Raw genomic sequence first — 15,018 nt, forward strand, 5'->3', positions numbered from 1 at the left:
TTCAAGGTGCTGGTTTTATGATCTAGGACAATGTAAAATCATTGTGCACACTTAGAATCAGTATAATGGTTTCAAAATTTAATTACAAGTTTACCTTTTCCCTTTTGGCATTAAAGGACTGATTAAAAGGCAATGAGACTGGTTTTCTTCAGTGGTTTGTAAAACTGGCTCGAAAAACAGTATCCAAAAGGACATTCTGATGAATATTTTAGCAAAATTATCTGCTACATTAGGATAAGCATATAGCCATGGGGTAAGACAATTCAGATGGTATTCATTTGGATGTGCAAATTCTGATCTATTATTTATAACTTATTCTCATTCCCTTACAGTCTTGGCCATATTTACTTATTAGTCATGCCTCCAGTGCAGTTGCCCTAAGTTATGGGTAATTTTCATTTCCTGTGTATAGAGTGAGTAAAGGAATGGGGAGCAAAACCACTTCATTTCCAGGCACAGTGAACTGGACCCACAACACATCTCTGTCAGTTTTGCCTTAAAGAAAGACAATAGACCAAGTATGCAGTCAGACACTTTCTAGCTGTGGTGTTTCTGACATAGCCAAAGGCTGTCATTGTAGGAACATGTGAAGTGCTACAAAAAGTGCCCCTGAAATTGCTGGCCACTGCATTTAATCCATCAAGAACATTTGCTAAGCATCTATGTGAATTAAAAGAACTGTGCCTGTGATTTTTATGATTTTATATGAAAGTCTAGTTTATTGGATCTTAAGACCCATGTCCAGGAACAGGAGTCAGCATAAGGATGCTGACCTCTCCTGGCTGTGCCTGTGACTCCAGAGTCCTGTCTTACTGTGACTTAAAGTTTGATGGAGAGAAAACTGTAGGATCCATTTCTGCCAGGAAACCAGGGTCTTCCTGTTTCTAACACTGAGAATGGGCACCCAGTGGTCTGAGAACACTTTCTGGGCTAACAAGGTCCTCACACAGGGCTGAGAAAGAAAGTGTTCCCCCTCCTGGGAAGCACATGTAGAAGTTAAGAGCCTGAATCTCTTCTAAACCAATAATTGACCTCTAGGCACCCACCATACTACTGCTACCTTCAGGGCAGAAGACACTACTCTTTGTAACCCAGCCACCACCAAAAAGGGAACAAAAGGAAGGAAGGAAGGTTAAGCCATTGGATAATACTGAATCTGTTTCCCTAGTGACTTAGTCTTAGAGCAAGCATAACATCCAGGTTAATTTTTGTAAGATTTCTCCTTTTATTATCACCCTCATCATAGTTCCCAATTATCTCTTAAAGTTTAAGTGGTTTATTGACATTAGTATTTCTGATAATAGTTTACAAACTACTATAAACAAATTTGTAAACATTACTATTTCTGATGAAAATAAAGTTGTTTCTCCCTCCAAAAAAAAAAAAAAAAAAAAAACAAAAGAAAAAGAAAAAAAGAAAGTCTAGTTTATTACCACTGAGCCTTGAAGATAAGAAGAAACAACCAGGCCGAGTATGGTGGCTCAAGCCTGGCCAACATGGCAAAACCCTGTCTCTACTAAAAATACAAAAATTAGCCAGGTGTGGTGGCTCACACCTGTAGTTCCAGCTACTCAGGAGGCTGAGGCGTGAGAATCACTTGAACCTGGAAGGCAAGATTGCAGTGAGCTAACTCCACTGCACTCCAGCTTGGGTGACAGAGCAAGACTCTGTCTCAAAAAAATATAAAAATAAAAAAATAAAAAGAAACAACCATAAAATAATAGAATAAAAATTACTGTTTTTATGTAAATATCTGCTTCTAACAACCTGCATATGATATATGGATTTACTTTTTTCCATTCAGCCTACCTAGTCTTCGCCCAATGTTGGATGTTAATTATTTGCCACTGACAGACATGAGGATAGCACGAACATTTTGTTTTACCAATGAAGGACAGGCATTATACCTCGTCTCTCCTACTGAAATTCAGCGGTTAACATACAGCCAAGAAATGTGTGATAATCTACAGGTAGGTCAGGAGTTACATTTATGAAAAAGACATTGGACATGGTTGAGAGAATGAGAAAGATGTCTAAAAACAAAAATATTATTAGGTCAGACAATAATTATGCCCTTCCAATAACATGTTTTGAATATATATTCTTCATTTTGAGCCTACCAACTTCTAGTATGGTTCTAGGTATTGCACAGAAATAATAAGAAAGAGGGAGACAATGGAAAGATCATTCATATTAATAGCTAATCTTTTTGTTTATTTTATTGTTTTTGCCTATGGAGAATCTTATAAAAGATTATAAACTCTCCCCTCAGGGTGGAAAATATGTATGTAAACACAAAAATTTCTATACCATTCAAGGAGTTCAAGAACTCTTGAAGAAACCTTGTGATTAAGGGACACACAAAATAAACATATATCCTGTGGGTTAGAATTGAGCATTTGTCTTTTATTGTAGCAGTAAGCATAGCCTAGAAACAGGATAGATATAAATGTCTAACCTTCTGTAAGAATGGTCACAACATTTTTTAAAAGCATCTTGGACATTTAACTATTTAACCCCCCTCATTTTACAAATAAGAAAACTAAAACATATTTATTATAATACAGGGGTTAAGAGCATAAGCTCTGAACTATTCGAGTTGTATTTTGGCTCCTCCATTTCTGTGACTTTGGGCATTTTACTTAACCTATCTGTACACTCTACTTTGGAGCATTGTTGTCAGAATTTAGTAAGAATTCATATAAAAGACTGAGCTCAGTGCCTGGAATATAGTATGTTTTTTTAAATAAATAATAATAAATATTACTATCATCACCATTGTCATTCTACAGATAATTATTGAGTTTTTTTCTATATGCCTAATACTTGGCTAGACTCTAGGAACATGCTAATAAATAAGATACAAGTCCCTGCCTGCTAGTGTGGAGAGACAGAAGTAAACACAATCACACTACTCTGTGGAAAGTGCTATATATGGCTGTGCCAGTACTGGGGAGACATATAAGAAGGACACCTGGGTTGATGGAGCAGAAGGGAGGTGGTTTAACCCGTTGACTCTCTAACATGCTTTTTAAAAATTTTGTGACCACCCTCACTTAAGGTTAAACTTTTACAGCTATCCTGTTTCTAGTCTATGCCTACTGCTACAATCAGAGACAAATGCCCAATTCTAACCCACTGGATATATATTTATTTTGTGTGTCCCTTAATCAAAAGAAGTTAGAGAAGGATTATGGGCACAACTGACTTCCAAATGGTAAACAGGAGTTATCCAGTTGACTGAATGGTTGGGCATGAAAAAGGTAAGATACTTTAGACAGAAGTAGTGGCATGCAAAAGCCTCACGGCTAAGGAAACTGCCAAAAAAGTGCAGAATTGGGAGTGGAGGTGTTGTGCTGGAGAATTAGTCGAGTAGATCTTGCAGCCCCTTGTAAGCTACCTAAGGAATCTATTATAGCATTTATCCCAAGGGCAGTGGTCATTAAAAAGTTTTAGCAGATTTGTTTATTAAAATAAATATTCTGGTTATAGTATGGCAGTTGGTTTTCAGGAAGCATAAGGATGGAGAAAAGTTAGCAGATTCAATAGCCATAAAGTGTAATCAACTGGATTTAGGGTTATTAGATAATAGGAGTGGAAAGGAAGGAATTAGTCATTTCTCGGTTTCTGGCTTGGGGAACCAAATAGATGATGTTGCCATTTCCAAAGAGAAGGGCTTCAGGAGGAAGAGCACAGGTCTCAGTAGAGGTAAAGGGAGATGATGCAATTAAAATCATACTGGAAGTTCATAGGAAACCAATATTAGGTCACAGATCTCCTGACTCAGTCTAAGTTCCTTTCTCCACACTGATGGTTCTTCAACTTTGGTCTGCTTTAGAAAAAGCTGGGGAGCAAGGTCTGGTAAAAATGTAGATAACGAGAGTACATCTATGTAGAGTCTGATTTCATATATGTGGAATGCAGCCTGGATATCTGCATTTCTAACAAGCATTTCTCTAGTCATTGTAAAGCTCACCAAATATTGAAAACAAATGTACTTCACCCTATACAGTAGCTGCCTATTTTGACTCGTTTAAATTATCTTTAATCATTTTATAGTTTTGTACTCCTACAAAAATAGATCCAACCTTCCACATACCACCAAAGCTGTCCTATTTCATAGGGCAGTCTATGCTTGGTTCAGGGAAGGGTACCAGGATAAAAAAGAAGCTATAGTGACTGAAAAAGGATCAGAAGTCTAGTGGTAATTATTGAGCACAGATGGAAATTAATCCTAGGGTAGCTATATTAGCTTCCCATGCTTTGATGGAAGGAAGAAGAGAAGAGGATAAAGGAAAATTTTAGAATGTTTGTTACTATAGAAGGGGAGGAACAAAAGAAATGCCAGAGGGAGAACTGTGAGCACAGCAAAAATCACCATGAAAATATATGAAAAGCAGACTGTTTTTTCATGATGTGTCCTACTATATCACAGTGTTACCTTTTTGTATATTAATTGATTTTTTAGTTGTTCTAATGCTTTTTTCTGTGAATTTGATGCAGGACATGCTAGGAGATTTGTTTACTCCCATAGAGACACCAGAAGCTCAAAACAGAGGCTTTCTCAAGGGACTGTTTGGTGGAAGCGGACAAACATTTGACAGAGAAGAGCTCTGTGAGTAAATTCCTGATTATAGAAATGTATTGCAAAATAGAAGACGTTTCTGTGTATGTGTATTTGTGTGTGTAACTTAATGTAATATGTGATCTCAAATTCTAGACTACGTATTTTTTGCATCTATCTTAAAGTTTGAATATTTGTTTCCTTCTGTACCATAAAAATCATTTCCATTTACCAACATGGAAAGTGGTCACTTCATATTAGGAAATTGTTTAACAAAAGTGATACATATAATTCATACAAATAATGAGCAAGCTAATAAATATCTCATTTGCAAGTAGATCATACCTGCATGGCAATGTGAAGGTATTCAAAAAAGTCTGGAAAAAAGATTTTTGAATCTGCTTGACTTTAATCACTGCTGGAAAACAGATTCCTTATTCAGAATGTAAGATTTATAAATCCTACAGAATAAATTACTTTAAAAATCTACCAGTGAGACTTTGATAAACAAAATCAAAAAGTATTATTGTTTATCAAAGTCTCACTGGTAGATTTTTATTTATTTATTTATTTATTTATTTATTTATTTATTATTTATTTATTTATTTGAGACAGAGTCTTGCTCTGTTGCCCAGGCTGGAGTGCAGTGGCCTGATCTAGGCTCACTGAAACCTCTGCCTCCCGGGTTCAAGCGATTCTCCTGCCTCAGCCTCCCAAGTAGCTGGGATTATAGGCGCCCACCATGCCTGGCTAATTTTTGCATTTTTAGTAGAGACGAGGTTTTGCTATGTTGGCTAGGTTGGTCTTGGACTCCTGACCTCAGGTGATCTGCCCACCTCACCCTCCCAAAGTGCTGGAATTACAGGCATGAGCCACCACACCCAGCCTCACTGGTAGATTTTTAAATAATAGGAAGATACTAGGGAAAATTTTCAGAGAGAAGGTATGAATATATTTTCCAGAATATCCTACCATCATTTGGTCCTATAGATCAAAATTCTCTTTCTCTGGAACTTTTATGCAAAAACATCTAGGTTCCTTCATACAATAGAATATTATTTGGCCATGAAAAGGAATGACGTACTGATACATGGTACAACATGGATAAACCTTGAAAACATCTTGCTAAGTGAAAGAAGCCAGACAAAAAAAAGGCCACATATTGTATGATTCCATTTATATAAAAGGTCTAGAATGGGCAAATTCAGAAAGACTGAAAGTAGATTAATGATTGCCAGGGGCTGAGGCACAGAAGGAACAGGGAGAGACTGCCAATGAGCATGGAGTTTCTTTTTGGAGTTATGTGTATGTTCTGCAATCAGATAGTGGTGATGGTCGTACAACTTTGTGAATACACTAAAAACAAGTGAATTTTGCACTTTAAATGGATAAATGTTATGTGAATTATATCTCAATAAGGCTATTATTTTAAAAAAATTAGATTCCATCCACTCTTATTTTAAAAAAAATCTAGAATCCATTCCAATATTACATCCTTGGGAATTCTAACTAAATTTCTGCCAAAATAGCTGTTTTTTTTTCCTTAAAAATAAAAATAAAAATAAAAAAAGAATCTCACTTGGCTGCCCAGGCTTTAGAGTAAAGTGGCACAATCATAGCCCACTGCAACCTTCACCTCCCTGGTTCAAGAGATTCTCGTGCCTCAGCCTCCCGAGTAGCTGGGACTACAGGCACATGTCACCACTCCCGGCTAATTTTGTACTTTTGGTAGAGACAGGGTTTCACCATGTTGGCCAGGCTGGTCTGGAACTCCTGACCTCAGGTGATCTGCCCACTTCAGCCTCCCAAAGTGTTGGGATTACAGGCGTGAGCCACCGTGCCCAGCCACAAATTTTTAACATATGTAACTTATATGGGTAAATGTTATGTTTGTTTTATAAATCAATTTTTTAACACACATAACCATCATTCATATATTCATATACCCCATTTTTCAGTATTTACAGAGAGAGAGAGAGACAGAAAGAGAGAGAAAGAGAACCTGTGGCCTACAAAGGCTTATACATGAAGGTGAACCAAGAAGGCTGAAATAAAAACTCAGGCAGAAATTTAAGCAAATGATCAGGCCTAAGCTTGGAACAAACATTAATATGGGTTAAATATGAAGTCACATATTTGAATATTCCAATTCAGCATCAAGAAATGCAATTATGCCATATTGTATGGAACACACACACATACAAAAGGCCTATGATAACAATATATCTCACAGTCTCTTTCTTAGCATTTTTCTTAAGTGCTAACATCTCCAAATACATATATGACTGGACCAAATAAGACTCTCTTTTAATGAGAATTATGACAGTAGAATGTAATACTAGTACTTTGTCTTGGTGACAAGCTTGACTGTTTGAATTACTGACAAAATGTTTTAAATTGCTATTGCATATATTCTCAGTTGGGGAAGCTTCGGCAGGAAAAGCATCCCGCAGCCTTGCGCAACACATTCCTGGACCAGGTAGTATAGAAGGGATGAAAGGCGCTGCTGGAGGGGTGATGGGAGAGCTGACCCGTGCACGGATTGCACTTGATGAAAGAGGACAGAGGCTAGGAGAGCTGGAAGAGAAAACTGCAGGCATGATGACCAGTGCAGAAGCATTTTCCAAACATGCACATGAGGTAAACTGCCTAAGTAAATACAGACATCTTCATACAGGAGTAACTTTAAACATTTAGGATCTGCACAAGAAAGCTTAAACAGAGATCCACATAAGTAATCCTGTATGAGAATCATGGTAACCTAGATCTCTTCTAAGTATTATAATTCTCCCAGTGCTTGGGAGATAAAAGGTTTTTTAAAAAAATACTTTAATGTATCGATACTTCTTTACCTTAGGGGATAATTAAAGAAATTATCCATTGGTTCTGATACATCTGGGATCCACATCCTCCATTTTGTCTCAGTCATGAAAAATCATTTTCTATCAGCTGAGTCTTTACAGCTTGTTTATTTTTAAAATCTTTCTCATATGCACTTTATTTCACAAAATAAAAGAAGCCACTCAGTTTGATTATAAGTTTTGAGATAGATTTGCATGATTAGCTCAAAATGGCCTTGCTTTGAATAGCACTTTTAAAGTATTTTAGCGTCTTATGGTGGCTATTTTTTCTTTGCAGTTAATGCTGAAATACAAGGATAAGAAATGGTACCAATTCTGACTTCTAAAGAAGCTGTGACTGCTTTGAGAAACCATATTCAGGGAAACCAAATTTATTCCCAGCATCACTACTCAACTGCTAGAAGCCAGTTTCTTCTACAAAATGTTCCATTTACAGTCAATCTGAAATTTTCATAAAAGAGATGTATCAGAGACACTGTGCAACCCAAAGGCTGGAGCCCTGGTTAAAATCCCAAAATACGGCTGAATTTGCCTTTTCCCATGTGGAATGGAGCTATCATCTTGGCATGTCATTCGATAAGGATTTATATTTAGTAACTACGGGGAGTCCTCTTGATTTGAAAATTCCTGTACAAACAAAAGCATTAATGCACTTAATGAAAAAAAATCTTTGCATGATAAATTAACATCTTAAGGGGAAAAGAAAAAAAAGCATGTTGTGATAGAAGAAAAAAAGATTCATGGTAAACTATTTCTATCAATTGGGCCACACTCAACAATTTAAAAAATCTGCATTTGAAGATGTCAGTGCATTTCAAATATATTTGCCATACCCAACTGAAACGGAAAACAAAACAAAACAAGAACCCAGAGTTTTCTCCTCATCTGTAACTTTCATTGTACTAGAACCTTATTGAATTCTTATGGCAAGAGTCTGATTAATGTTCTCTCTCCATGTTTTACATCATTCACAGTTGTGTCAAAATCAAATATTGCCAGTATAGTAAATTATTCCCAACACAATCAGTTTCATTTCTATCACCTTCAGAATGGGTTGCTGTTTTTAGCACAAACCATGCAGGGTTGGGTCACCTCAAAGCATTTTCTTCAGCCTGGCTTGTACTCTATAGGGGAGTTGGTAGTAGGTGTGGGGAATCTATAGGAACAATAGAGTTAGCTATGAGAACTGACTTCACAAAAAGGGAAATTTCACACACCCCAATTTCAGCTTCTAAAGTGATATATTTTAAAAGCTTCATTTGTATCCTTGTCTGCCAGTTACACAGTATATTACTGTTCAAACCCAGTAGGGTCTGCAATCGAAAGGTGCTCTTGCAGCCTGACATTCACAAACCAAACTGGTCATTCTCTTTAGTGTGATTCAGTAAAATCTCAGTTAATGTTTTGGGAAAGGGATTCTGATTTATGACATTTCTGATTTACAAGGGCTTTCCTTAGAAAATACCTTTCGGTTTGATACTTACCACTGGAAATTGGTTCGATACTTACCACTGGAAATCTTTATAAAATATAGTGATCTGTTTGCTATCTTGGTCTCAGTCATCATTATAGACAATAGAAATACATAAAGAGTTTAATGATACAAAATCAATGCTTTTGTCCCTAGGTCAAATAATATAAGCCACTAGATTATGTCAATAGATGCCAAACACTTGTCCCTTATTAAAGACTCTTTTAAAGCTGGAATAAAGAATATCCTTAACATGATACAAGGTATCTATAACTCACCAGAAAAGCACCAGAGTCAAAACCAAATAGAGACACCTACTACCATTTAACATGATTCTGGAAGTCAAAAGTTATAGGAATGTATATATACACATTCCAGGACCCATCCTGTAATATGTTGTTTCGTCAAGAAAAGTTTTAATTATGGTTTTGGCTTATTGAATTTTTGTTTATCAAGGTCTCATTGGATTTACATTTGTGTTTCTTAAGACTTCACAATTTTCCTGGATTTCAGGTTATTTTATTAGCCAAAAAATCGTATTTTTATTTCCTTTTTAGTCTAATTTTTTGCTAGAAGTTGTACTTTCTAGCAAATGTTTCTAGTGGTACAATGTTCTCAGTAATTTTGAGGAGAACAAAGATGAGTGAAAGAGTTAGATAATGTACACTAGGATAGCATTTCTCAGAGTCCTTGAATCCTCTTGTTAAGAAAGCCTCTCTGAATCTCCCAGACTCCTGTGAACAGCCTTACGGTAACAGAATCTGGCTTGGAAACACAGACATTACATGACTGTATAATTTATAGAATTATAAAATTATATGGTAAAAATATTAAAGAAACTTAAGAGTAGGATCTAGAAAATACTAGTGGCCAAATTGCAATGTATTCTTTGTACCATCTGTTTCAAAGACTTAGTTTTCTGATTTTCAGAACAAATACTTTATCGTTTCTGTATTTTAAAAAAAACTAAAAGAGTAAAATATTAGTTTATTTTAGAAATAATGAAATTCAGTCCAAAGTAGCAGTACATTTGATGAGTATTTCTGAAGCCTTCAATAAGATTTAACTTGTTTTAACTTGATCTACATCGAGATTTCTCAAAAGCAGCACTATTAGCTGAAAGTCTTTGTTGTGGGGAACTGTCCTGTGTATTGTAGGATGTTAGCAACATCCCTGGCCTCTGTCTACTAGATGCCAGTAAGAACCTCCTAGTAATGACAATCAAAATGTCTCCAGTCATTGCCAAAATTTCTCCCAGTTCACAGCCACTATTCTACATCATACAAAGAGGTAGATTGTGTGAATATGTAATATATGTTGTTGTATAAAACTGTACAATAAGTATACAATGTCTTAGCAAGATAAATTATTATACCCAAAATTACATGTGTGGTTCATATGCAATAAGATACAATTTTGAAGAAAGCTTATAGGAATCAGTGAAAAATAACAACTACAGAATATTTTAAGGCACACAGAGAAAATATCAAAAAGGACATTATAGCATTTCACTGTAGAAGTGCTTAAAACCTTGGCCTCAGTGAATAGATCAAAAGTTTATAATTAGCACACCAATTGGAAGTAAACAGGTGCTTCTCAAATGCTTGAAAAGAAAAGGCTCTTTGAAGTAGTTAAAACGTGTCTTTCAAAATTGCTTTTATAAGCCCTTCCTTAACGTAAGGGTAACTTCATCTCACAAACTCCTGGTTAGTGGAATCCAAATTAATGAGGTTTTACTGTATCAAAATTATTTTTATAATTCAAAGAGATGATAGCAATAAGAAGAATCTAATGTGGATGTGATTTTTCTCTTTGAACAATTCTGTTCTGTTGCACTGACCTTAGCACGCACGCACACACACACACACCATCGCCACCACTACCATCATCATCTTATCCTCATCTTTGGAAAATAAGTACTGTTGATCCATGTAATCCTTTGCATAGTCTCATCTTTACTATCTTTCTTCTATTTCGGAACATAAGAAAAATACTCCTAATAACTTGGACAATGATACAGAAAGTGACTCTGAGCCTTAGTTACCATCAAAATTACATTCTATCTGCTAAAGCGACATCAGAAGATAAGGCTTGCAAACCACAGTCCCAACAAGTTGACCTTGTCTCCCTATGATTTCCTTGGAAGATAAGGCCTTTTTAGTGTTACAGTAGAAAATGGGCCTTTTCATTTATTCATCTGTGAGAAGCTAGAGGTATTTGTTTCCCTGATAATAACGTGAGCAATAGTCCCTACCTTGAAATCATCCATTAGTCTTGGAGTTTGGAGGGAGGAATGATTGATTCCTCATTTGTTTTAATCACCTACAAAAGCAGTACTACTGACTTTGCTTCTTACACTTCACTGAGCCCCAGACTTTAGGGCCCCAATCATTGTCAAGATCATTGTCTAACTGGAACTCTGAAAGGACAGTGACAGAACTGAATGAGATGTTTTCCAGTGATTCAGTCACAAAGACAATTTTCTCAGATCTTTTGAAAGTGATTCTCAAATAAATAAATCAAAATCCAACTCCTTTCCCTCAAAGTTTCTAGGGATCTGAAGGAAAAGGTTTACTGTTGGAGTCCCTTTTTATGTGACCCATGTACCAGTTTTAAAGGCATCATCTATACTTTATCTACATGAAGGGATCACCATGACTTTGAGAGAAAAAAGAATCAGATTAGGCCTAACATTGGTTGAAGAAGATTAAAATAGATTCTTATATTCAAGCAGAAGGGAAAAATGAAGCCAATCTAGAAAAGTAAGCTAAAAATCCTCTCCTTGGCTTAGGATCATTGGGTCAAACTGGGAGTATATCTGTGTGATTACAACCTGCTGCTATGAGAAAAAAGAATTGTAACTTGACCATGTTGGCTCACACAGGGCAATGCAAAAGAAGTCAAAACATTCATATCAGGTCTTGGTATCTGTGTCAGGAGAAACGTGGTGGCTTTCACAGCTTCTTCACCTCTGTCCTCTGTCATGCAACTCCATTTTTGGCTAGGTACTATTTCACATGCACACTGTCCTGGGTGCCAGAAATACTTGTGGTGTACTTGGTTTGAGCAGTACCTCTAGTATGCACCATTCCAGGGAACATGGTTGTCAACATAACAAGTTTAGTGTGTGTATTTGCAGACAACATAGCCCTGAAAGCATGAAATGTAGAATAGGTAAGGTCTGTCTTAGAAAAGGAGGAGGAAGTACCAATTTGGTGCAAGAAGATCGTGGTGAGGAAGGACATGGGAGCCACAGTGAAGTGAAAGAGGCTTTAAGGAATCAGATGCACAGATGGATGCTTTGATTTACACATTTATCTAGAGGAGTGATTCTCAACCTTGACTGTACATAAGAATCACCTCAGGAAATTTTTAAATTCCCAATTATATTAAAATCATTTGGAGTGGGAACCAGACACCAATATTTGCGAAAGCCTCCAAGGCGGTTCTAATGTCCAGCCAAAGTTGATTATCACTGCTTTATGGCCAACTAAGGAAACCTTGTTTGTCTGCCTTGGCTGGTGCTCCAGCCCCAGTTCTGAGTGGTCAGGGAAGGCAAGATGTAAGATATAGTAATGGTATTTATTCTGTATGTCTCACAGAACAAAAGCATTTGAGAATTTCTGACCAGGCAGTGCTCCATCAACTCTTAATAATCATCTTTGTGATATTCTCCTATGTGACTTGTCCATCAATTATTCCAATTCAAAGGTCTAGGTTTTTTTTCAATTGTCTTACACATGTGACATCACAAGATACCAGAAGTAGCACAGTAAATTCAAGAGCATATAAAGCTAAGTGGAAAACTAATTCTTCATATTTAGACAGTGGAAATTCTCAAAACAATCATTTGCTAAATTAGGTCCAAATTTATTATTCATTCTTCTTCTGGAGGAGACATGGGTACCAGGTACCTGTTCTGCTGTAGGTATATTTCACTGGACTTGGTCTTAGCAAAAAGGAAGAACAAATCTTCCTTTTTGATTGTTATCTCAATCAAAAGCTCCCAGGGCCACTTGGATTTATTTTCTTAGTCTTTGGACATGTGTTTAAAGGAAAAGAATACCTGTAACTTCCTATATGACATCCAGTGCCCTGAAAGGGTGCTTACACCTTCAAAAAAGGAGAGTCCAGCCTATCAAAGGCAGTAACACATAATGAGAAGAAACTCAGAGTTATTGCCTTTCATACTGCTTTCCCTCTGCTGTTGGCCCACCCTTCTTGACTGCAAAGCCAGAAAATAAACTAGATGGTGGTTTTGGACAATTGTACACAGGAACAGAATCTCTAATAACCTATAATTTTTAGTACTTAATTATGTGATGTTTTATTCTAGGAAATAAGAAACAGATGACATCATTGATGTATCTTTCTTTCATCTTCAGAATTTTTGCATCTTTTCAGAAAATGACAAATTACTATTTTTCTGTTGCACTCAGCAATTGTGACTATACTTAACAAAATTCTTGTAGTCTGTAGAGATATCAATAAAATTGTATATGTTTGTACATAGATGCTCTCTTATGTCATGATGTCATGCACTAATGATTTTTTCCAAGATTACATATGGACAGAGGTAAGACCCATTTATAACAGTATGAACTATGGTTTTGCAAAGTGTTAATTGTTTTCAAAAAGCAGGGAGGGGGTGGGAGAGCAATGTACAGCAAATCTATCAAATACAACTTCCCAAAACTCACACATTGTACTAGAATTTATTAACCCAATAGCCATTCAAAATCTCCATCAATTTGAGGAGATGTGTTACTTTTTGTTGGAAGACTTTAAAGACAACTTTTGACGATGTTGATTGAAGTCCACCTTCAGTGAAGTACAAGCAAAAATAATTTGTTAATAATGCATCAAACGAAACCAAGGTGGGTAAGATGTACCTACAAACTCAACATGCAGACCTTACTTCCTCACTTCTTTTCAGCTCAGGCTTTGTCCTCATCCAGGCAGAAAAATTAAGCTACTATGGGCTTATTCCAGCTCCTAGTAGTTATGATAAACATTCATTAACTCAAGACCTCCAACAGTTCTCTGGAGAGTGTGCTCTCCTGCGCCTCTGGCTTTCATAAGCATAGTTAATTCCTCTCCAGGCACTTTCCCCATATTTATCTATACTCTGGCCATAAACAACTGACTTTATTCTTCCAAATCCTGTCTAATTTAATCTCAGGAAAATTTCCCCACCGCCATAATTTTTCTCCTAATTTTAGTTCCATATAAAAATTGGAAAAAACAGCCAACCAACTCTAGGCTAAAAAACTTGTTGATTAAAAATACAAATATGCATACTGACCCTTTAAAATACAAATTCCTTTTCAGAATTTTTCTCTAGCAGAATTTCTTCAAAGGGATCCATTTACCTTCTTATTTTTGAATTACAATAACTCAAGCTTCAGATACTTGCATTCAATATTTGAAATACTGATTCGACTTCCTTTCTTCCTTCTTCCCTTCCTTTCTGTTTCTTCCTCACCCCCTCCCTCCCTCTGTTCCCTGCTGCCCTTTCCTCTCCTCCCTTCCTTCCTCCTTTCTTTCCTTTCATTCATTCATTCATTCCAAAAGTCAGCCACACTCAAAAAGGTTGGTGATGGCATCCCCATACAAAGACTGCATTGGAGTAGGGTGAGAAGGGCAGCCCACAGGAGACAGCACTGGAGGGAAGTGGCAGGGTCAACCCTTCAGTGGTCAGTGATGGCGTGTGATGTTGGCACTGGAGCAGGGCAGAAGGCAGCCCGGTGGGGTCAGGAGGTTGGCTACCTACAGGGTACTGAGCAATTAACAAGTACATTGATACTATGGGAGCCAGGTTTCTCCCTGATGGAGAACAAAGAAAGGAAAAATTAAAAGGGAAAGCTAGAATAAACCCTGTGGTATTAGATTAGAATAGGAAGTATAAGTATAAATTTTTACATATATATAAAGTGTGTATAAATAATGTATACAAATATATATGGGTATCGCTACATAGTTTACATACATATGTGATATAAAGGTGTGTGTGTGCACACGTGCCTGTGTGGTACATATATATTTCCTAATTCTGCACACCAAGAGGACAGGGAGCAAGCCCCTCACACCCTGGAGCAATGAGCACAACTAGTGCCTGGATA

At 36.7% G+C, this 15,018-nt stretch overlaps 1 protein-coding gene across 9 annotated transcripts in view; it reads left to right on the top strand.

The window, feature by feature from the left end:
- The window catches only part of STXBP5L (syntaxin binding protein 5L), a 516,557-nt gene extending 503,149 nt beyond the window's left edge, over nucleotides 1–13,408 (top strand). For all 9 annotated transcript variants that reach the window (NR_145516.2, NM_014980.3, NM_001308330.2 and 6 more), the window contains 4 exons: nucleotides 1,805–1,970; nucleotides 4,504–4,615; nucleotides 6,984–7,204; nucleotides 7,703–13,408. Coding sequence is in view for 8 of the 9 variants with exons in the window: in NM_014980.3 (NP_055795.1) it covers nucleotides 1,805–1,970; nucleotides 4,504–4,615; nucleotides 6,984–7,204; nucleotides 7,703–7,744 (541 nt within the window). In the remaining variant the exon portion in view is untranslated. The remainder of the gene's footprint in view (nucleotides 1–1,804; nucleotides 1,971–4,503; nucleotides 4,616–6,983; nucleotides 7,205–7,702) is intronic.

The sequence above is a fragment of the Homo sapiens genome, chromosome 3 (assembly GCF_000001405.40).
Source record: "Homo sapiens chromosome 3, GRCh38.p14 Primary Assembly".
Classification (NCBI taxonomy): Eukaryota; Metazoa; Chordata; class Mammalia; order Primates; family Hominidae; genus Homo; species Homo sapiens.